This window comes from Homo sapiens, chromosome 11 (genome assembly GCF_000001405.40).
Source record: "Homo sapiens chromosome 11, GRCh38.p14 Primary Assembly".
Taxonomy (NCBI): Eukaryota; Metazoa; Chordata; class Mammalia; order Primates; family Hominidae; genus Homo; species Homo sapiens.
Genome location: NC_000011.10, coordinates 66,284,299 through 66,305,019, shown reverse-complemented (window position 1 = coordinate 66,305,019; position 20,721 = coordinate 66,284,299). Strand labels below are relative to the sequence as shown.

At 56.7% G+C, this 20,721-nt stretch overlaps 2 protein-coding genes across 3 annotated transcripts, besides 4 other annotated features; one reads left to right on the top strand and one right to left on the bottom strand.

The window, feature by feature from the left end:
• Positions 1 to 8,355: 8,355 nt before the first annotated feature.
• Positions 8,356 to 13,126, bottom strand: TMEM151A (transmembrane protein 151A). Its single transcript, NM_153266.4, has 2 exons — positions 12,932 to 13,126; positions 8,356 to 10,698 (listed from the first exon to the last, which is right to left on the bottom strand). The coding sequence occupies exons 1-2, from the start codon at positions 13,004 to 13,006 to the stop codon at positions 9,367 to 9,369; spliced, it is 1,407 nt and encodes a 468-aa protein (NP_694998.1). The 5' UTR covers positions 13,007 to 13,126; the 3' UTR covers positions 8,356 to 9,366.
• Positions 15,561 to 15,700: an enhancer, noted in NCBI's record as "active region_5042". NCBI's record gives its function as "activates an Ori minimal core promoter by ATAC-STARR-seq in GM12878 lymphoblastoid cells {active_cell/tissue: GM12878}" and the evidence as "EXISTENCE:reporter gene assay evidence [ECO:0000049][PMID:35858748]".
• Positions 15,561 to 16,260: a biological region, named in NCBI's record as "Sharpr-MPRA regulatory region 5915".
• Positions 15,568 to 15,862: an enhancer, noted in NCBI's record as "tiled region #5915; HepG2 Activating non-DNase unmatched - State 1:Tss, and K562 Activating DNase unmatched - State 1:Tss". NCBI's record gives its function as "activates a minimal TATA promoter and a strong SV40 promoter by Sharpr-MPRA in HepG2 and K562 cells {active_cell/tissue: HepG2 | K562}" and the evidence as "EXISTENCE:reporter gene assay evidence [ECO:0000049][PMID:27701403]".
• Positions 15,801 to 16,260: a silencer, noted in NCBI's record as "silent region_3586". NCBI's record gives its function as "represses an Ori minimal core promoter by ATAC-STARR-seq in GM12878 lymphoblastoid cells {active_cell/tissue: GM12878}" and the evidence as "EXISTENCE:reporter gene assay evidence [ECO:0000049][PMID:35858748]".
• Positions 15,877 to 20,440, top strand: YIF1A (Yip1 interacting factor homolog A, membrane trafficking protein). 2 transcript variants are annotated; one of them, NM_020470.3, is made up of 8 exons: positions 15,877 to 16,065; positions 16,728 to 16,939; positions 17,104 to 17,208; positions 17,344 to 17,422; positions 19,262 to 19,319; positions 19,484 to 19,639; positions 20,054 to 20,147; positions 20,237 to 20,440. In NM_020470.3, the coding sequence occupies exons 1-8, from the start codon at positions 16,035 to 16,037 to the stop codon at positions 20,381 to 20,383; spliced, it is 882 nt and encodes a 293-aa protein (NP_065203.2). In that variant the 5' UTR covers positions 15,877 to 16,034; the 3' UTR covers positions 20,384 to 20,440. The 2 variants fall into 2 exon arrangements, with proteins under 2 accessions (NP_065203.2, NP_001287790.1); NM_001300861.2 differs by lacking the exon at positions 19,484 to 19,639.
• The last annotated feature ends 281 nt before the right edge of the window (positions 20,441 to 20,721 follow it).

The following is a 20,721-nucleotide window of genomic DNA, read 5'->3' as shown; positions in this document are numbered from 1 at the left end:
TAGACATCCATTATGTGTGCCAGGCACTGCGCTGGCTGCTGGTGAAGTGTGCGTATGTTGTAAGAGGGAGCGTCCACTTGTAATTTATAATAATGCAAATGATGATGATAGCAATCTTTATTGAGCACTTCCTATGCTTGAGACCCTGATTTAAGCACGGTCACATAGTATCTTTTAAGAAAATATTTATTGGCCGAGTGCAGTGGCTTCTGCCTGTAATCCTAGCATTTTGGGAGGCCGATGCAGGTGGATCGCCTGAGGTCAGGAGTTTGAGACCAGCCTGGCCAACATGGTGAAACCCCATCCCCACTAAAAATACAAAAATTAGCCAGGCATGGTGGCACATGCCTGTAGTCCCAGCTCCTTGGGAGGCTGAGGCAGGAGAATCGCTTGGACCCAGGAGGCAGAGGTTGTAGTGACCCAAGATCATGCCACTGCACTGCAGCCCGGGAGACAGAGCAAGACTCCGTCTCAAAAATAAATAAATAAATAAGAGAGCCTTAGATAAGGCCGTCTATAAGATTAGATGGGGAATAAATAAATATTTAAAAATATATATTTATTTATAGGCCGGGTGCAGTGGCTCACATCAGTCATCCCAGCACTTTGGGAGGCCAAGGCAGGTGGATCACTTGAGGTCAGGAGTTCAAGACCAGCCTGGCCAACATGGTGAAACTCTGTCTGTACTAAAAATACAAAAAATTGCTGGCCATCGTGGCTCATGCCTGTAATCCCAGTTACTTAGGAGGCTGAGGCAGGAGAATCTCTTGAACTTGGGAGGTGGAGGTTGCAGTGAGCCAAGATCTCACCATTGCACTCCAGCCTCTGTGACAGAGCGAGACTCTGCCTCAAAAAAAAAAAAAAAAATTTGACTGGGCACACAGTGGCTCACACCTGTAATCCCAGCACTTTGGGAGGCCGAGGTGGGAGGATTGCTTGAGATCAGGAGTTTGAGACCAGCCTGGGCAACATAGGGAGATCCCATCGCTACAAAATATAAACATATATAGCTGGGCATGGTGGCGTACACCTCTGGTCCCAGCTACTGCAGAGGCTGAGGCAGGAGGATCTTGTGAGCCCAGGAGTTTGAGACTAGCCTAGGCAACATGGCAAAACCCTGTCTATGAATTTAAAAAAAAGTATATATCTCTATCTATCTATCTATCTATCTATCTATCTATCTATCTATCATCTATCTATCTGTCTATCTATCTTTTTTGAAATGGAGTCTCATTCTGTCACTCAGGCTGGAGTGCAGTGGCGTGATCTTGGCTTACTGCAGTCTCCACCTCCCAGGTTCAAACAATTCTCCTGCCTCAGCCTCCCAAGTACCTGGGACTATAGGCACACACCGCCACACCTGGATAATTTTTGTATTTTTAGTAGAGATGGGGTTTCACCATGTTGGCCAGGATGGTCTCGATCTCCTGAACTCGTGATCCTCCCGCCTCAGCCTCCCAAACTGCTGGGATTACAGGTGTCAGCCACCGCGCCCGGCCTGAAGTAAATAGGTTCTATTGTCATCTCTCATTCTGCAGATGAGAAGACTGAAGAAGAGAGAGAATAAGTGACTTGCCCAGGGCTTCTCAGGTTGTAGTGGAGAGTTGGAATTATTCCAACCAACTCAAGGGTCTGGCCGTGTAACTATTCGCCTCCCATGGCCTTGATTCTTTTTTTTTTTTTTTTTTTTTTTTGAGACAGAGTCTTGCTCTGTCGCCCAGGCTGGAGTGCAGTGGCGCCATCTCGGCTCACTGCAAGCTCCGCCTCCCAGGTTCACACCATTCTCCTGCCTCAGCCTCCTAAGTAGCTGGGACAACAGACACCCGCCACCACGCCCCAGCTAATTTTTTGTATTTTTTTTTTTAGTAGAGACAGGGTATCACCGTGTTAGCCAGGATAGTCTCGATCTCCTGACCTCATGATCCGCCCGCCTCGGCCTCCCAAAGGCTAGGATTACAGGCGTGAGCCACCATGACCAGCCCCATGGCCTTAATTCTAATAGAAGAAACAGATAAAGAAACTCGTGCATAAATAAATGAAAATAATTGTAACTTATGGTGAGTGGCCGAAAGGAAATGCAAAGCGAGCTGAGAGTTGGTGGGAGAGAACTTTAGACAGAAACCAATGGGGACGTGATTTGATTTACATGAGGTCTCTGCATAGGCCGCAGGAGTAAGTGGGCGTGGGAGGCCTGTCGGAGTCATGGGGGAGGAATCCTGGGCACTTGGAGCAAGGTGGCTTGGGGTGGAGAGGAGGTGGGGTGTGTTGTGTTCTGAGTAGAATCTTGGGTGGTCGATATCACGCGTGGTGGGGCGGGTGAGGGGAGCTGACGAAATGCTACAGCTTCTAGGTCTTCTTCAAATAATCCAGTTGGAGCTCAAATAAGTGGGGCTGAGTGTGGATGGAGCCCAGAGTGGTTGCAGGTGGATGATCATCACAGCACTGGGTGCTGAGTAGAAGGGGCCTCACTGCACCAATCTTTCTGCTTTTGTGATGTTTGAAATTTTATTTTATTTTTTAGAAAAATTAGCCAGGTGTGGTCGTACACACCTGTAATCCTAGCTACTCGGGAGGCTGAGGCAGGAGAGTCACTTGAACCCAGGAGGCAGAGGTTGCAATGAGCCAAGACTGCACCATTGCACTCCAGCCTGGGTGACAGAGCGAGACTCTGTCTAAAAACAAAAAACAAAAAAAAAAAGAAAGAAAGATATTTTATTTTATTTTTGAGACTAGAGTCTTGCTGTGTCACCCAAGTTGGAGTGCAGTGGCACAATCACGGCTCACTGCAGCCTTGACCTCTTGACCTCCCAGCTCAAGCGATCCTCCCACCTCAGCCTTCTGAGTAGCTGGAACTACAGGTGAGCTCCAACACACCTGGCCAATTGTTAACTTTTTGGTAGAGATGGGCTCTCACTATCTTGCCCAGGCTGGTTTCAAACTCCCAAGCTCAAGTGATCCTCTCACCTCAGCCTCCCAAAGTGCTGGGATTACAAGCTGAAATTTTACATAATACAAAGTTTTAAAGAAAGAACAGGCCAGGCGTGGTGGCTCATGCCTGTAATCCCAGCACTTTGGGAGGCTGAGGCAGGCAGATCACCTGAGGTTAGGAGTTCAAGACCAGCCTGGCCGACATGCAGAAACCTCATCTCTACTAAAAATACAAAAATTAGATGGGCGTGGCAGCGGGTGCCTGTAATCCCAGCTACTCGGGAGGCTGAGGCTGGAGAATCGCTTGAACCCTGGAGGCGGAGGTTGCTGCAGTGAACGGAGATTGCGCCACAGCACTCCAGCCTGGGCAACAGAGCGAGGCTCGGTCTCAAAAAAAGAAGAGACAGCCGGGCGGGGTGGCTCACGCCTGTAATCTCAGCACTTTGAGGGGCTGAGGTGGGCGGATCACGAGGTCAGCAGTTTGAGACCAGCCTGACCAACATGGTGAAACCTCGTCTCTACTAAAAATACAAAAATTAGCCAGGCATGGTGGCATGTGCCTGTAATCTCAGCTACTCAGGAGGCTGAGGCAGGAGAATCACTTGAACCCGGGAGGCGGAGGTTGCAGTGAGCTGAGATCACGCCTCTGCACTCCAGCCCGGGTGACAGCGAGACTCCATCTCAAAAAAAAAAAAAAAAGAGGCGGCTGGGCGCGGTGGCTCATGCCTGTAATCCCAGCACTTTGGGAGGCCAAGGCGGGCAGATCACAAGGTCAGGAGATCGAGACTATCCTGGCTAACACTAACACAGTGAAACCCTGTCTCACTAAAAATACAAAAAATTAGCCGGGCATGGTGGCGGGCACCCATAGTCCCAGCTATTCGGGAGGCTGAGGCAGGAGAATGGCATGAACATGAACCCGGGAGGCGGAGCTTGCAGTGAGCTGAGATTGGCCACTGCACTCCAGCCTGGGCGACAGAGTGAGACTCCATCTCAAAAAAAAAAAAAAAAAAGAAGAGGCTTGCCGTGCTGGTGCCTGGCTTAGGCAACTGGCTGAATGGTAGCTCTATTTCCTGAGATGGAAGACAGAGAGGAGCAGATGGTGGTAGGGGTGGAAATTACAGGTTCTGTTCCTGCCATGCTGTGGGTAGCCTATGTCAGGAGAGAGCAGAGGCAGAGGCCGCTGGGGTTTGGGAGCCAGGCTTTGCACCCCTTCTCAGGCATGAATTCTTCTCTTGAGAACGGTTTAGAACAGAACACCTTGGCTTGATGTTGACTCCAAGAGAGTCTGAACACGTGGCCACCCCATCTCCCATCAGGAGATTGTGAGCTGAGAGCTGTCCATCAAACAATGGGGCTTCTGGGTCCCTCCTCTTCCTGGCTGTGCAGGCCCAGTGCCCTCCCTCATGAGGTGCAGGTGGGTTTAGAGCCTTGTGACAGTGATCATGTAACATGTAACAAATCACTCCAAAATGTAGTGGATTAAAACAAGGATTTATTTCCCCTCATTCTATAGGACAGCAGTCTGGGCTGGGATCAGCTTGGTAGTTCATCTGCTGGTCTCACCTTGGGTCACTCCTGAGGCTCCTGTCATCTGCGGCTCAAGTGGGGCTACAGTGTCTAAGATGGCCTCTGTCATCCCATATCTGGAGCTGATGCTGGCTCTTGGCTGGGGGCCTCAGTTCTCCACGCAGCCTCAAATCTGTCAGGAGGCTTGGCTGGACATCTTTACAGATGGTGGTCTCAGGATTGCAAGAGGGCAAAGGTGGAAGCTGCGAGAGTCCTTGAGGCCTAGCCTCAGAAGTGGGCCAACATCTCTTCCCTCACATCCAATCAGTCACAGCAAATCACAAGTCCAGCCCAGATTTAAAGGGCGAACAGATTCCACTTCTTTTCTTTTCTTTTTTTTTTTTTTTTTTGTGAGATGGAGCCTTGCTCTGTTGCCCAGCCTGGAGTGCAGTGGCGTGATCTCAGCTCACTGCAACCTCTGCCTCCTGGGTTCAAGTGATTCTCCTGTCTCAGCTTCCTAGGTAGCTGGGACTACAGGTGCACACCACCACGCCCAGCTAATTTTTGTATTTTTAGTAGAGTTGGGGTTTCACCATGCTGGCCAGGCTGGTCTTGAACTCCTGACCTCAAGTGATCCACCTGCCTTGGCCTCCCAAAGTGCTGGGATTACAGGCGTGAGCCACCGTGCCCGGCCTGATTCCACCTCTTGAGGAGAGGAGTGGCAAAGAATTTGTGGCCATATTTAATCTACCATAGGCCTGAAGGTCCCCATAAATGATCTGAGCAGCTCACTTTGCCCTGAGCAGGCCCATATCTGACATGCCACCACCTTCCTTCCTTAAACCAGCACTATAAAGAGCTTGGTGTTCATTTTGCAGATCACTTTACAGGTATCAATCAGTTAGGAATGGCAAATGGCATTTGGCTCAGCAGTTGATTGCATTTTTGAAGATGACCACTAATATATCTCCCATCCCGCATGCTTTTCTAACAATGTGACATTGACAAGCCTCCACAGAGAGATGAGATCCTATATTCCCTCCCCTTGAAACTGAGTGGACCTTCATAGTAGCCTTGACCGATGGAAAGGGGCAGAAGTGATGCCATGTGACTTAGGAGGCTAGATCACAAAGTGCAATACAGCTTTCACCCTCTCAGTATACTTGTTCTTGGAACCTAGCCACCATGTTATGAGGAAGGTCAAGCCGCTTGGAGAGGACCTGTGTGGGTGTTCCCACCAACAGCCCTAGTTAGGCTCTCAGCCCTCAGCCCTCAGCCAGCATCAACTGCCAGACATGTGAGTGAATGAGCATTCAGATGATTCAAGCCCCAGCTTTTGAGTCTTCCAGCAGAGGCCCTGGATGTCGTGGAGCATAGAAGCCATCCCCATTGTGTCCTATCTGAGTTCTTGACCCACAGAAGCCAGGAGAGAGCATAATAATTATTGCTCTTTTAAGCCACTAGGGTTAGGATAATTTGTTATGTGGCAGTAGATAATTGGTAAAAGCTGCTGGTAACAGAGACAAAAAAAAAAAGCAATGGGCTTAAGCAGACTTACAGTTTATTTCTCTTTCTCATTGAAGTCTGGAGGTAGGCGACCCAAGGGATGACATGGAAACTTGCATGGTGTCATCAGAAGCCCAGGATCTTTTCCCTTGTTGCTCTGCTGTCTTCAGCATGTGGCTACAATTTTCTTTTTCTTTTCTTTTTTTGAGACGGAGTCTTGCTCTGTCGCCCAGGCTGGAGTGCAGTGGCGCAGTCTCGGCTCACTGCAAGCTCCGCCTCCCGGGTTCATGCCATTCTCCTGCCTCAGCCTCCCAAGTAGCTGGGACTACAGGCGCCTGCCACCTCGCCTGGCTAATTTTTTGTATTTTTAGTAGAGACAGGGTTTCACCGTGTTAGCCAGGATGGTCTCGATCTCCTGACCTCGAGATCCGCCCGCCTTGGCCTCCCAAAGTGCTGGGATTACAGACATGAGCCACCGCGCCCAGCCTGTGGCTACAATTTTCAAGGTCATTTCCTGCTCCAAGATGGCTGCTGGCGTTCCAGCTATCACATATGCATCCAAGGCTGAATGCAGGCTGAAGCAGAGAGGACAAAAATGGCCTTCATCAATACTGCTTCTATTCAAGGGGCATTCTTGGAGATCCCTTCCAGCACCTTCTGTTTATATCTAATATCCTAGAATTCAGCCACACAGTCATACCATATATGCCAGGGAGGCTGGAAATGTTGCCCTTTAGCTGGGCACATTGCCTTCTGCAGCAAAACTGGGGTTCTGTTATTGGGGAAGGGAGGAGAATGGACAGTGAGTGGCCAGTGGGCAGTTGTTGGCTATGGTGTTAGAGCAGAATGGTGGAAAAAGGGTCTTTCCCATGGCAAGGAGCTGAAACCAGCATGCTGGCCTCCCTACCTGCTGGAGCCTTTTTTTTTTTTTTTTTTTTTGACAGTCTCAGGTGGAGTGCAGTGGCGCAATTTCAGCTCACTGCATCCTCTGCCTCTCGGGTTCAAGCGATTCTCCTGCCTCAGCCTCCTGAGTAGCTGTCACAGGTGCCCGCCACCACACCCAGCTAATTTTTGTATTTTTTGTAAAGACGGGGGTGGGGGGTGTCTCACCATGTTGGCCAGGCTGATCTCAAACTCCTGACCTCAAATGATCTGTCTGCCCCGGCCTCCGAAAGTGCTGGAATTACAGGCATGAGCCACTGTGCCTGGCCACCCCCTGCAGCCTTGTTGAATGTTTGGGCACCACAGGGTTTTCCACCTAATTTGCTTCTGAACGAGGAACTGATTTCACACCCAAAGAAGAGAGGCTGTGGGTTAACGCACAGGGAGAACTCTGGTCTTTCACTCCACCCTCCCGACAGAGCCAGCAGGTCGCTGGACTTTTGCTAAATATCCTAAAATGCAGCCTTGACTGTATCACGTCCCTGCCCAACCCCCTTCCATGGTTCCAGATTGCCCAGTTTGCTCCAGTTTAAGGACAAATTCTAGGGTTTGGCATGGAAGCTGCAGCAAAGCCTTCCATGGCTTCTTGCTTCTATCTCCTTGTCACACCTCAGCTCATGCCCGACAACCAGGCCTTTGTCTGGGCAGCATCGGCTGTCCAAGACATTGCTTGCCATGTCTTTGCTTAGTGAAATCCACCCATTCTCAGCACACTTCCCGGGCCACCACTAGCCCTTAAGCCACCTTTGCGTGAAAAGGAAAACGGTCCCCTTTCTCCAAGTGGATGTAGCTCCATGCCAGAGTTTGGGGAGTGGCCTGTAGGCTGGATTCCATGCACGCTTGCCCCTTAGCCCACTGCCCTTGCACAGTGAACACCCTTTACTGCTGCACATGTGACAATGCCACGTCCAGGAATCTTTCAGAGCTCCATCAGGGAGTCAGGACCTTCCTTTTCCCTGATGTTTTCTCTGCCTTTGGATTCCATGCCAGCCTGCCCTGGTTTGGGGCTGCCCTTTCCAGCTTTGTGTCTTCTGACCTGCTTCATGCCCTTTCCCTCAGATTGATAATGTCAGTAGCCGCTGGGGGGGCACCGAATTCGAGTCACAGACCATAGCTCTTTCTCCCCACTTTGGGGACCGGCCACCACTCCCTTAGCCCTCGGCATGCCCAGCAGCAGAGTGGAATGTCCCACTGAGCTGGAACAAGGGCCACCTTGACAATGCCTTAGCAGTGACCCAGGCCCAGATACCGGAGTCAGGGGAGCCAGGTGCTCAGAGCGCCTCACACTTGAGTCTCAGAGGCCCCAGGCTAGGCAGGGGAGGTTTCCTCTCCTCTGCTTACTTGGTTCCTGGGAACACTGGAGCCCAATTCTGAGTCCCTTCCCAGAACCCCTCATCGTGCCCTGAACCATGGGGGCCCATAATGCTTGCAGTGGAGGCCTTAGACCCATGACCCAGGAATGCACAGGCCTTCCATTCCATACCTTTATTTAATCTGCATCTTCTCAGCCTCCTCCCTTCCCCGCCACCCCTTAGAGGGCGTGGAAGCCCTCGTTGAAAGGGAAGGAACTCCTCTCTCCTCCCTGGGGGAGGGTCAGTGTCCCCTGGGCCAAGACTCGTTGATGGGAGAAGCAAGGGCCTGCGTGGTGGAGCAAGGACATCATCCAAGAGGCTGTGGCCAAGGCCCAGCCCCTCGGATGCCCTCTAGGCCTGGGCCCCATGGATCATCAGGAAAGTGAAGAGTAGATAAGTCCGGGAGGGCAAGGAACGGGCGTCCCTGCGTGTGTGTGGCTGATGGAGGCAGACATGGACTTTGGGAGGCAGGAGCAGAGGCCAGGGGATGTGGGGACCAGGTGAGGCCCTGAGAAGGAACCCCAGGTTGTAGGGGTAGCTGCATGTGGGGGGAGTGACTGGCCCTGAGCAGCGGGAGAGAGGGCAGGCAAGGAGGAGGGGCCTATCAGGGGAGGATGGGAATGTTGGGTGAGTAGCAGGGCCAAGGCCATGGTGCCACCACAGCCAGCTCTTCAGCCCCAGGGAAGCCAACCTGGCTGGGCATGGCCCCAAGCCTCCAATTTGTGCTTCTGCGTCACTGGGGGGGCTCCCAGCATGGCCTCAGCCCCGGTAGGGAAGTGTCCACAGGCAGCCTCTGCTGCAGGCAACAGCTGGCCGCAGGACTCCTCCTCCATCCCAGCCTTTCTGGAAGCTTCTTCTCCTGCCCTTTGTGAGAGGCCTTCAGGCCAGATCATCGGCCATCTTGGGGGATGAAGCCATGCTGGGGGCGATTCTTAGGCTTCCACTTCCTCCAAAATGACCACAGGTAACTGCATTTTAGTCTGTTTAAGGACCCCCACCCCCACCCTCACCCCTGCCCCTTGTGTGTGGCTGGTCTGTTTTCCCGCCTGTTTTGGACAACAATCACTCGGGCATCTAAGCCCATGGTGGAATGGTGGGGAGGGGGCCACTCTGGGGGCCGTGGGGGGTCTCAGAGAGCACCCTGCCCATCCCCCTGGCAGCCGCTGTCTCCGTGGACAATGAGCACCGGGAAGTAGAGGGCGTCCTCATAGCAGGGCGGGCTCTCCAGGGGTTCCGTGTCCTCTCCACGGCGCCCCAGCGGCCCCCCGCTCAGGCTGCGGAAGACCCCTGGCGTGGCCCGGCCGCCAGCGCCCAGCGAGAGGCGGCTGCGGCTGAAGGGCAGGCGGGGCCCGCTGGGCCGGGCGGGGGGCAGCGAGTTGCTGCTGACAGAGCGGCGGCAGCGCTGGCAGCCTCTGAGGTAGGCGCCCGAGCCCGCGCCCATGACCACGGCCTCCGAGTAGCTGGGCACCAGCTGCCGGTTGGAGCAGATGTGCCACTCGAGCTCAGTGAAGTCCACTGTGGCCACGCGGGACAGCGGGGGCCCGCTGGGCACGGCCCCCGGCGGGGGCGAGCTGGCGCCAAAGAGCTTCTCCACCTGGTAGTGCACGTGAGCCGTGCCATAGGCGGCCACGACGCGCAGGGGCCACGACAGCGTGGCCGCCGACACGAGCCAGAAGACCCAGGCGCGCGCGTACCAGGGCGGGCTGCGGGGGTCGGCGAAGACCATGAGCGACTCGCGGAAGTCTACGTCCTTCAGGTGCATGCCCTCGCGCGCCTCCAGATAGTCGTCCAGGCCCTCGTTGGCGCTGAAGAAGCGCGCCCGCTGCGTGAGGTACGAGGCCTCGGCCTCCGCGCTGCCGAAGCTGAAGCACTTGGTGAAGCGCAGCCGCGTGGCCGCGTGCTCCGCCAGCCCCACCAGCTCCTTGGAGACGTCGCGGACGCCGTGCGCCGAGTAGTCAAACTCGCCGCGGGCCGTGCGGCTGTCAGCGCGCTCATGGTACACCTGCGTGGTGGTGTAGGCGTCGCCGTTGCGGTAGCGCGTGATCTGGCGTGTGCGCCGCACGTAGTGATAGCTGGTGGCCTTCCACCAGACGCACGGCGGCGCCTGCTGCAGCCGGCGGATCAGCGCCAGCACCGTGTGGGCGTCGGTGCGTGGCGCCTGGCAGGACCGCACGTGACAGTGCCAGCACTCAGCCAGGTAGAGGAGGTAGAGGAGGGAGACGAAGGCCAGCGGGATGTACAGGTAGCCATCGGAGCAGGGGCTGGCCGGGTAGGTCGGTGGCGGGCCCCCGGCTCCCCGGGCCAAGGCGGCCTCGGGCCCCAGGACCAGCCGCGGCACTGTGGCCAGGCGACACCAGGCCACCACGGCCCCGCAGGCGTGGATGAGCAGCGTGAGGAGCAGGCACTTCCAGTGCGACTCGCGGCACAGGGAGCTTCCCAGGGACTGTTTCAGGGGCCGCTGCTGCAGGTGGGCAGAGAAAGGGAAGTCTGTGTCAGGTGGGGCCATCAGTGGGGCCTGCCACTTTGCTTAACCCGGCTGAGGAAGGTGATACCGTGAGCCCCATTTTACAGAGGAGGAAACTGAGGCTTAGAGGGATGAGCAGCTTGCTCCAGGCTTCACATTTCCAGCTCACTCACAGTGGCGCTGCATATTCAAACCCAGGACTCGCTGCCCCAAACCCATCCTCCACTGTGCCGTGCTAGCACTCGGCAAACCGCACACAGGAGACAGCAGGCCCACCTCAGCCAGGAGGGATGGATCCTTGCACTGGCTATTGTGGGTTCTGGTCCTGGCTCTGCCCTGATTTGCTGTGTGGACTTGGCTATATCTCTGCCCTCTCTGGGCCTTGATTCTTGGTCCTGTTGGTTTGGGAAGCCAGGGTGGAAGGGGTCTGAGGTGTAAACAGCATGGGCTTTGGAGTTCCACTGCCCAGGAGCCAGTGCTGGCTCCACTACTTACTGTATGACTTGGGCAGGTCCCTCATCCTCTCTGGACCTCAATTTCCTCATCTGTAAACTGGTTCTATTGTGAGGATTCAACAAGATCATATGTGTGAAGAAGTGAGCACAGGGTCTGGCCATGGGAATAAATATGATCACCATTACCCTGAGACTCCCTCTGGTCCCTTGTTCCATAGGGACTCAGAAGTCTCGGCAGAGGCTTTTGAGTTGATGAGAAAGAGGGAGCCTCAAGAACGGGGGAGGTGCGAGTCTTGGGGTGGGGAGCAGATGGAGGGCCATCCTCCACTCCCCATCTGTGCTGAGCAAGGGGGTGGGACACAGCTACTGGGCAGCAGGGGCCACTCCCTGGCTCAGAGGGCTTGCCACACCCTCCCTGGCAGGGCTGCCAGCCTAGCCACCTCACCCTCAGGTGCCATGGAGAGAGAAGCAGGTAGGGATAAAGTGGGGCGAGGGGAAGGGTAAAAAGGGGAGGAAAAAAGTGGAAACAACAAAAGGGGGGTTAAGGGGCCACCTCTCCTACCCCAGACCTACCAGGCCTCCAGAGGCCCAAGAGGAGAGGAACCACCCCCTAGCCCAGCCCAGATACAGCCTGTCCCCATCACCCAGCATGGGAGCACAGCGCCAGCTGACCTGCAAGGCCTGTCAGGTGCACACACACTTGTCCACGCCCCTCCAACACATGCTCATCACAGACCCACCCACCGTGGAGGGCCACACTGCCTGTCACCCAGGAAACTCCAGACCCTCGCCTGTCCCCAGGGCACAGACTCCCAGAACCGTAGCATGGTACACACACATACACACACACACGCACACACCACATACCCATCCACCACAGGACACACACGTGCACATACACGTTGCACGTGCAGTGAAGCCCAGAGACATACCAGACCTTCACCTGACCACAGTGCACATCTCCCCACCCCCCACTGCAAACTGACCCCCAGGCTCCTCAGACTCCACAGGGAGAGACCTGCCCACAAAGGGACTCACTCACATGCGCACACCTAGACCACTGGGTGACAACCCGAGCCAGGCACCCACTCGCCCCTCACCTGACTACAGGGCGCACACACCCAATTCACACACCCACACAACACACACACAGAAGCAGGCTACATTCACCCAAATGCATGCACAGCCCCACTCACCACCCTATCACCCCACACATCACTCGGGGCCCCAGGTCCTGCAGACCTTCCTGGCTAGGGCTGAGGAGGGGCCGTCGGGGGTCCCAGCCAGCAGAATGGGCCCTCAATCCTCACCTCGAGGACAAGGAGAAGGGGTACCCAGGCGCCTCCCTTCCTCTTCCCCTCCTCCCCTCTAGGCTCTGCGACTGCTGCTGCATTGCAGGCGCTGCCCGGACACCTCGTGAGCGGCTGGGCCGGGCTGGGGACCTGACCCCGCGGCCCTGGGGGTGGGGGCAGCATCCCCCGCTGCGCTGCGGCACTGGGACGCGTGGGGGCCAGGCACTGACGTCACAGGACGGGCGAGGCTGGATGAGGGGACGCCGGGGGCGGAAGTCGCCCCGCATATTGCTGTCCAGCCGCCCCACCCCTACCCCCAACGCGGGCCCCTGGACCCTTGGCAGGGCGCAGGTGACCCCAATGACGTCATTGGCCGTAGGGGCTCTGGGACTTCCCTCCTCAGCCCCTCTCTTGGGGTCGCCTTTTGCACTGGTCCCTCTCACGCCGCCCCAGGCCCGGCTCCGGCCCCCCCAGCGCCGGTACCTCTTCCCGCAGCGGCTCGCCGTCCGGGATGAGCGCGGGCACCTCCCCGCCGTCGCCAGCGCCGTCCTCGGGCATGGTGTCCTGGCTGCTTGGGCGGCCCCAGCCTGGGCACCGGGCATGATAGGGGGGAGCACGGAGGGCTGCGACGCGGCCCCCGGGGGCGTCCGCTCGGCTCAGCGGCCGCGGAGGGAGTGCGCGGAGCTCGAGCCCGAGCGCGGCGGCAGCGGCGGCGGCGGCGTTGGCGGCCCGGGTGCCAGGCGCCCCGCCCTCCGCTGACCCCGCCCCCGCGGCACCGGCGGCGCCGCCGGCAGCGCCTGGCACCGCGGGCGCTCCGCCCGTCCCCGAGAAGCCCCCGCTGGGCGGCTGGACCCCTGGGTTCTCCTCCGGCCGCGCTCGCGCTCGCGACCTTGAGCTGGTCTAACCCTCTGGCGCCTGAGCTTCCCGGGCTGTAAAACCCTCGAGGAAGGAGAATCTCCAAGGTGGGTGGGCGCTCGCGGGGTCCCATCTCTAAGGAGTAGGCCCAGAGTTAAGCCCACCCAGATCCCATCCCTGAAGCCTCACTTGGAGAAGAGGGTAGTTACAGCTGAGAAAAGCGTGACGAGTCTCACTGGCTGGGCAGGGGTGCTGGGCTCAGCTTAGGACAGGCAGGCTGGGGCCAGGACACAAGGGACCCTAGGCTGCGTGACCTTGGGCCAGCATGCTCCACTCTCAACCTCAGTTTTCCCATCTGAAAAATGGGGATAAAAGCTGGACTGAGTGGCTCATGCCTGTAATCCCAGCACTTTGGGAGACCGAGGTGGGAGGATCACTGGAGTCCAGGAATTCCAGCAGCCTTGGAAACATGGCGAAACCCTGCCTATACAAAAAATTAAAAAATGAGCTGGGCATGATGGTGTGGTGTGCACCTGTATTCCCAGCTACTTGGGAGGCTAAGACAGGAGGATCAATTGAGTCTGGGAGTAAGAGGCTGCAGTGAGCTGTGTTTGCACCACTGTTCTCCAGCTGCGTGATAAAGTGAGACCCTGCCTAGAAGGAGAAGAAGAATGAGAAGGAGAAGGAGAAGAAGAAGAAGACAGAAAGAAAGGGAGAAAAAGAAATAAAGAAAGAAAGAAGGAAAAGAAAAGACATAGAAAGGTTTTGGATTCAGTTTACAAGTATCCATTGTGCCCTGCAGTGACATGGGAACTGACTTGCATTAGATGACCCCCTCCCAGGTACACGTGGCCCCAGTGCTACCTCCTAGCCCTCCAGGGCCTCAGATCTTCACATCTGTGTCTGGGTCTGGCTTTGCTCCCAAACTAGACAATATGGGCAGAAAATGAGCTGCAATACTGGTGGGTTAATTCATTTTTGTATGTGCGTGTGTTCAGGCAAAGAGCAACTCAAAGACCATTCAATTAAACATCCTTACCCACTTAAAGATTAGGTAATTGAGATGTGGACACAGGAAAGGACTGGTCCAGGGTTTTATCTATTTATTATGAATTTCTTGGACACAGATGTTTATTGGGTGTCTTCCATATGCAAGTATTGTGCTTGGCACTGGGAAGACAAGGGTGGAAGTGGAGAATGACAACAGGGCCTGTCCTCATGGAACTTACATGCAGGGCAAATTGGGTGCACCCAGAGGGGGCCTAGAACCCAACCTATGACCTCCACCCCTGACCGGGTCAGGTCTCTGTCCCCTTTGTCCCTCTGAGAGGCACGAGATGAACTAACTCTTAAAGATAACTAGGCTTATGGACAAGTGGATATGAGGGGGAAGGGCATCCCAGGTGGAGGGGACCTCTGGGCAATGGCACTGCAATCAGACCACGTGGGCTGAGTTTGGGGAGCAGGAAGGTCATCTGGTGTAACTGGATACCTGGTAGCTAATTAGAGAGGTCGCAGAGAACCTGCTCATGCTCTCTAGAAAGCGGTGGCTGAAGGTCTGTGAGAGGGAGGCCCCTGAAGACTGTCTCCGCGGGGTTGGGAGTGATCAGAACCTGGGTGGAGAGAAAGGAACCCCCGGGACTACAAGTGAGGCTTAGGGGCCTCACTTCAAGAAGACCACAGGCCCGGCGATGACTCAGGAGTTTAGGCTGCAGCTTCAGGACGCAAATCAGCACACCTCTGCCCCCAAATCTGCTGGACTACGGGAGAGTCTATGGGACAGGCCCGGGGCAGGATCCTGCCCCACCTATACCACCCAATCTCTCAGACTTCGGATCCTCTGGGCCCCAGTTTTGCAGTATGCGTGTATGTGTGCGTGCGGCCACGCGCTCGCTAGGAGCGTGTGGTTCGAGACCCCAAATCTTCCCATACGCAGGCCCCCGGGAGTCTACAGGATGGCGGCTGAGGCGGGAGGACATTTTCAGCACCGGACGACGGACAGCACCCGCGCGGAGAAGAGGAGTGGGAGGCGGGTGGAGTCAGCATCCTGGGGCTTGCTTGGCAGCTCTGTCACTGATAGGTCCGGCCTCCCACCACCACCTCCGGGTCTGCCGGGGCTCCGTTCCAAGATTGGGTGAAGTGTAGGTGACGGGGGAGGAAAACAAGCCCAGAGAGGGAGAAACAGGCGCCCCGAAGGGCAGGGCTTGGTTGGAACTCGACCGCCCCGTTCCCTCCTGGAGTACGTCCCACCAAGGAAGCTTTGCTCCTGACTCCGGCTGCAGGTTACCTCTCGACTCCCTGGTGTAGTCGTGGCAGGGTGCGTCAAGTGCCTCACCGCGCAGGCGCGCAAATAATTCTCGCCCACCTTCTTTCTTAACTCTTCTATTGGCTGTTCCCACCGTGAACTGGCAAGCCCGTGATCCAATCCCAGGCACCGCAAGTCGCTCCGCCTGTCCCTCACCCGGATGTTGCCTTCTGCCGAATCCGCTCAGGCCAGAGCTCGTCAGTGGCCAATTGGGAGAGGGGAGGGGCGAGCCGGCGCCGCCGAAGAGCCAATGGCAGGCGCGGGGGATGACGCCACGGACATGGTGGCCGAGACCGGCGGGGTGGGGGACGTGTCGCGCGGCCGGGTGGCCTCGGTCGGTACCCTGGGCGCGGAGCAGCTGCCTCATTAGTATTCGTACCCACGAGGCGGCGCAGCGGGCCCTCGGGGACAGCGAGCGTCGCGGCCATGGCTTATCACTCGGGCTACGGAGCCCACGGTGCGTGGGGCGCGGGCGGGGCGCGGCGCGGCCGGCGGGGGGAGAGTCGGCGGCGTGGCCCGCTCACCCCGAGGGAGATAGCGACTGGGACCGCCGCCCAGGGCGGGGGTGTCACTCGGGTTCCTGCCCCTCGTAACACTCCAACACGTCCCGGACTTCGCCCTCTCGGCCCAGTCCTGGGAATCCCATGCCGGAGTCGGGCAAAAACGGGGTCCGCCTCCTCCTCCAGAAACTCCTTTGACTGTTGTGAACCTGATGAGGTCCCTGATCACTGTCCAGGGCCTCCAGGTAGCCAGCTGTCGCCTCTCCCAGCTTTGTTCACGGAAGGATGCCCTCCCAGTTATTTTCACCTAGCACACTTCTACTCACTGTGGCTCAGTTCAGAGGTCACTTCCAGTGAGAGGCCTTCAGAAACCCCAAGTGGGCAACCAGTTCTAGGCGCTGCCTCAGCTCTTTCTTTGCCTACATTTAGCAACGGATTTCTCGCAAAGGATCCCTCATCACAGTTTTTTCTCAGTTAGCTCCCCCTCACCCAGCTTGGGGTCCCCTCACTGATCGGTGCCTCCAGGACCCGTGCAGGGCTGTCCAGCCAGGGAAGGGGCGGTGGTTTGGGCTCATGCTTGGTATTTCTGTCATCTACTCTGATACCTCCAAACCCACAGGCTCCAAGCACAGGGCCCGGGCAGCCCCGGATCCCCCTCCCCTCTTCGATGACACAAGCGGTGGTTATTCCAGCCAGCCCGGGGGATACCCAGCCACAGGAGCAGACGTGGCCTTCAGTGTCAACCACTTGCTTGGGGACCCAATGGCCAATGTGGCTATGGCCTATGGCAGCTCCATCGCATCCCATGGGAAGGACATGGTGCACAAGGAGGTGTGGCCTGCCCCCGGGGCACGGGTGGCAGAATTTTTGGCTAGGGCTGGGGCATCATGGGATTCCACCCGATTCCTCACAGTGCCCTCAGGGATGGAGCACACAGAGGGGCACCCTGAGGCCTGGGGTGCGGCTTGCCCACAGCTTCCTCTCTCCCCTCCCAGCTGCACCGTTTTGTGTCTGTGAGCAAACTCAAGTATTTTTTTGCTGTGGACACAGCCTACGTGGCCAAGAAGCTAGGGCTGCTGGTCTTCCCCTACACACACCAGGTGAGCTTCCTACCAAGGGAGCTGGTGGGCCTTCCTCATTCTGCCCGAGTCTGGCCCCCAGACCTCAACCCCCTTCTCTCCTCTTTTCTCTTCTTCCCCTCCTGATGTGGCCGCTGCTGCCACTGCCACTGCCAGAACTGGGAAGTGCAGTACAGTCGTGATGCTCCTCTGCCCCCCCGGCAAGACCTCAACGCCCCTGACCTCTATATCCCCAGTGAGTCTCCAACCTGGGCTGGGGAACGTGGTGGGGTGGGGTCGGGGGGGACTTGTGCCTTGAGGGATGAATGGGAAGAGAGGCGCAGCTACTGAGTCAGCATCTGTTCTTGGTGCTTTGTGTATGTGTGGCAGTTGCAAGACACCAGGCAGGCAGTGCAGGGTGACCAGTAAGGAGCTTCCTGAATGCGCCTTCAGTGTCCCCAGGACACCCTTTTGAGACCTTCCTGTTTCTTGATTTGGACTGTATCCCTCCCCAGCCTGGAGCTCTGGGTTTAGACCTGGCTTTGCAGACTCCAGCTATGGGATTTCAGGCTGGTTATTTGTACTTTTCAGTAAAACAGGACTAATGTAGTCCCTACCCCAAAGGACTGTTGGAGAGATTCAGCAAGGTGATGTTTGCTCAGCACCTCACCTGGCACACAGGAAGGACGTAGGAAACATTAACTCTTATCATCGTTATTGCTTGTCCTCCAAGGCGTGCTCTGTTATCCCTTCTTCCAAGAAGCCTTTCCTGACCCCCTGAGCAAGTGGTGGCTCCCTTCTGGGTTCCCACAACTGCCTGTCCACATGGCATTTTTCAGGCTGCCCACACATACAGCTGACTCTTCTCTGTCCTGTTGGCTGCACAGGGCCAGGCCCATCGTGGACACCCAGGGTGAGTGAGTGTGCAGGGACCAGCCCGCAGATGAGCTTCCAGTGAGGGCAGCCAGTGGGACTGAGGGCAGGCAGCCAGCCTAGGTGTGCTGGGCAGCACAGGGGCTTCCATCCTTCATCCCGTGTGCCCATCGTAGCCACCGTGTAAGGCTGGAACTGGCATCCCCATTTTACATGTTGAAGCCAAGCCTCAGAGGAGCTTCAGTATCATTGAGGCCTCAAAGTTGACAGGTGGTACAGCTGATTTCCTGACTCCAGAACTCCAGACACTCCCCGCTGGTGGTCATGTCAGTGCTTTTTTTTTCTTCTTCTTTTGAGACAGGGTCTCACTCTGTCACCCAGTCTGGAGTACAGTGGTGTGATCTTGGCTCACTGCAGCCTCTGCCTCTCAGGCTCAGGTGGTGATCCTCCTGCCTCAGTCTCCTGAGCAGCTGGGACTGCAGGCTACAGGCGCCTGCCACCAGGCCCAGCTAATTTTTGTATTTTTAGTAGAGACAGGGTTTTGCCATGTTGCCCAGGCTGGTCTTGAACTCCTGGGCTCAAGTGAGCTGCCTGCCTCAGCCTCCCAAAGTGCTGGGATTACAGGCGTGAGCTACTGCGCCCAGCCAATTCTAGTGCTTTAAGCGGGGCAGAAGACAGAGTTAAAACTGCTGCTAATGCCCGGCTCCCACTGGCTCTGAGCTTTTATGAATACTGCCCAAAGTTAAACTTGGAGTTCCCTGCATTGTTGGGCAGCCAGAGCCCTAGCCAGTGCTGAGACTTAGAATTGCTGACTGCGGTGAGGTCATCTCCATGACCCCAGACTCAGGACAGCATGGGTGTCCACTGAACCTGGCTTCTGGTCTTGCCAGAAACCAGTTTGGTCCCTGTATAGGCGGAACAATGGCCTTGGCCCATGATACAGTTTCTGAGATGCAGCAGAACACTGATGAGCTTCCCAGCACAGGGACAGGAAAGGTGGCTTGTGGTTCTGGAAGAAGGGTCAGGTGGCATTTACACAGTGGGAGAGGGCTGATCGGAGACAGGCATTCCAGGCAGGGCATTTGGAAGCAGAATGTGGAGGTCAGGCCATGCTGGGCTATTCAGAGAAGGAAGTATGGGACATGTCGGTGAACCCGAATGCCTAGTAAGGCAGCTCTGATGGAGGAAGCCAAGCTGATGGCATCTCTCTGGCACTTGGCAGCGATGGCCTTCATTACTTACGTGCTCCTGGCTGGGATGGCACTGGGCATTCAGAAAAGGTCAGTGCCAAGCCCCTCCCTTACCCTCCCCTCCCTGTGAGCTCTTCTCCCAACCTCCCTAGGGCATATGTGGTGGTCCCCAGCTCACCCTCTGTTGCCCCAGTCTCTCTTCCTCACCCCTGCCTCAGGATGCCTGGCTCTGAGCCACCCCTGCTTTGGCGCAGGTTCTCCCCGGAGGTGCTGGGCCTGTGTGCAAGCACAGCGCTGGTGTGGGTGGTGATGGAGGTGCTGGCCCTGCTCCTGGGCCTCTACCTGGCCACCGTGCGCAGTGACCTGAGCACCTTTCACCTGCTGGCCTACAGTGGCTACAAATACGTGGGGTGAGCACTTGTGGGCCAGGGGGAGGTGGCCTTGGATCTGGGCCTGCATAGCTGTAGCCTCGAACTGTGACCCTGGACATGTCTCGGCCCCTAGTGACCTCTAGCACTGCTCTGTTAAGAGGGAGCAGCTGTCTCCAGCAGTCTCCTGAGGATCTGCGTGCCATGCAGAGGTTGGGGAGGTGTTGAGAGTCACTCTGCGAGTCTTGGGGAGAGAAGGGGGTCTCAGATCCAGGTCCTGGGGCTGAGTCCTGGGCCTTCCATATCCCTTTGGGGTCTGGGTCCCTGTGGGGACAGATTGAGAGTAAAAGGTGCTGTGGGAGGTGGGGTCTAGCTGGGCTCTGGGCGTTGGGGGTAGGGCCAATCTCAGGCCTAGACCCCTGGGGGTCACCAACCCTTTCCTCCTCCCACCCCCAGAATGATCCTCAGTGTGCTCACGGGGCTGCTGTTCGGCAGCGATGGCTACTACGTGGCGCTGGCCTGGACCTCATCGGCGCTCATGTACTTCATTGTGAGTCTGGTGCACCCCCCCATTCCCCTGCCTTCACTTGAGGGCAAACCTCCCCCTCCTGGCCAGGCTTCAGTTCTCCTTTCTTCCAGGTGCGCTCTTTGCGGACAGCAGCCCTGGGCCCCGACAGCATGGGGGGCCCCGTCCCCCGGCAGCGTCTCCAGCTCTACCTGACTCTGGGAGCTGCAGCCTTCCAGCCCCTCATCATATACTGGCTGACTTTCCACCTGGTCCGGTGACCCCCTGGCCCCAGATGGCACTGAGTTTTTCATTCATTGAAGATTTGATTTCCTTGACTTTGTCTGACCCTTGTTCCTGGGGCCTGATGGGGAGCTACAGATACCTCTGCGCCTCTGCATTGCCCAGGGGATCGGGCTTGGGGCCGTCTAGGAAGAAGGTGGACCCAGGGAGGGCTTCATGACTTTGGTGACCTTGATACTGCCTTGTAAGGGTTTCAGCAGCCTCAGCTGGGAAAGAGAAGATGGAAGGAGGCTGCTGAGGGGACCTGGAAGGCGTCTGATCCCTCTGGGGGGCTCCAGCAGGGTCTGTGGGCTAGTGGGGTGAGACAAGCCAGGCT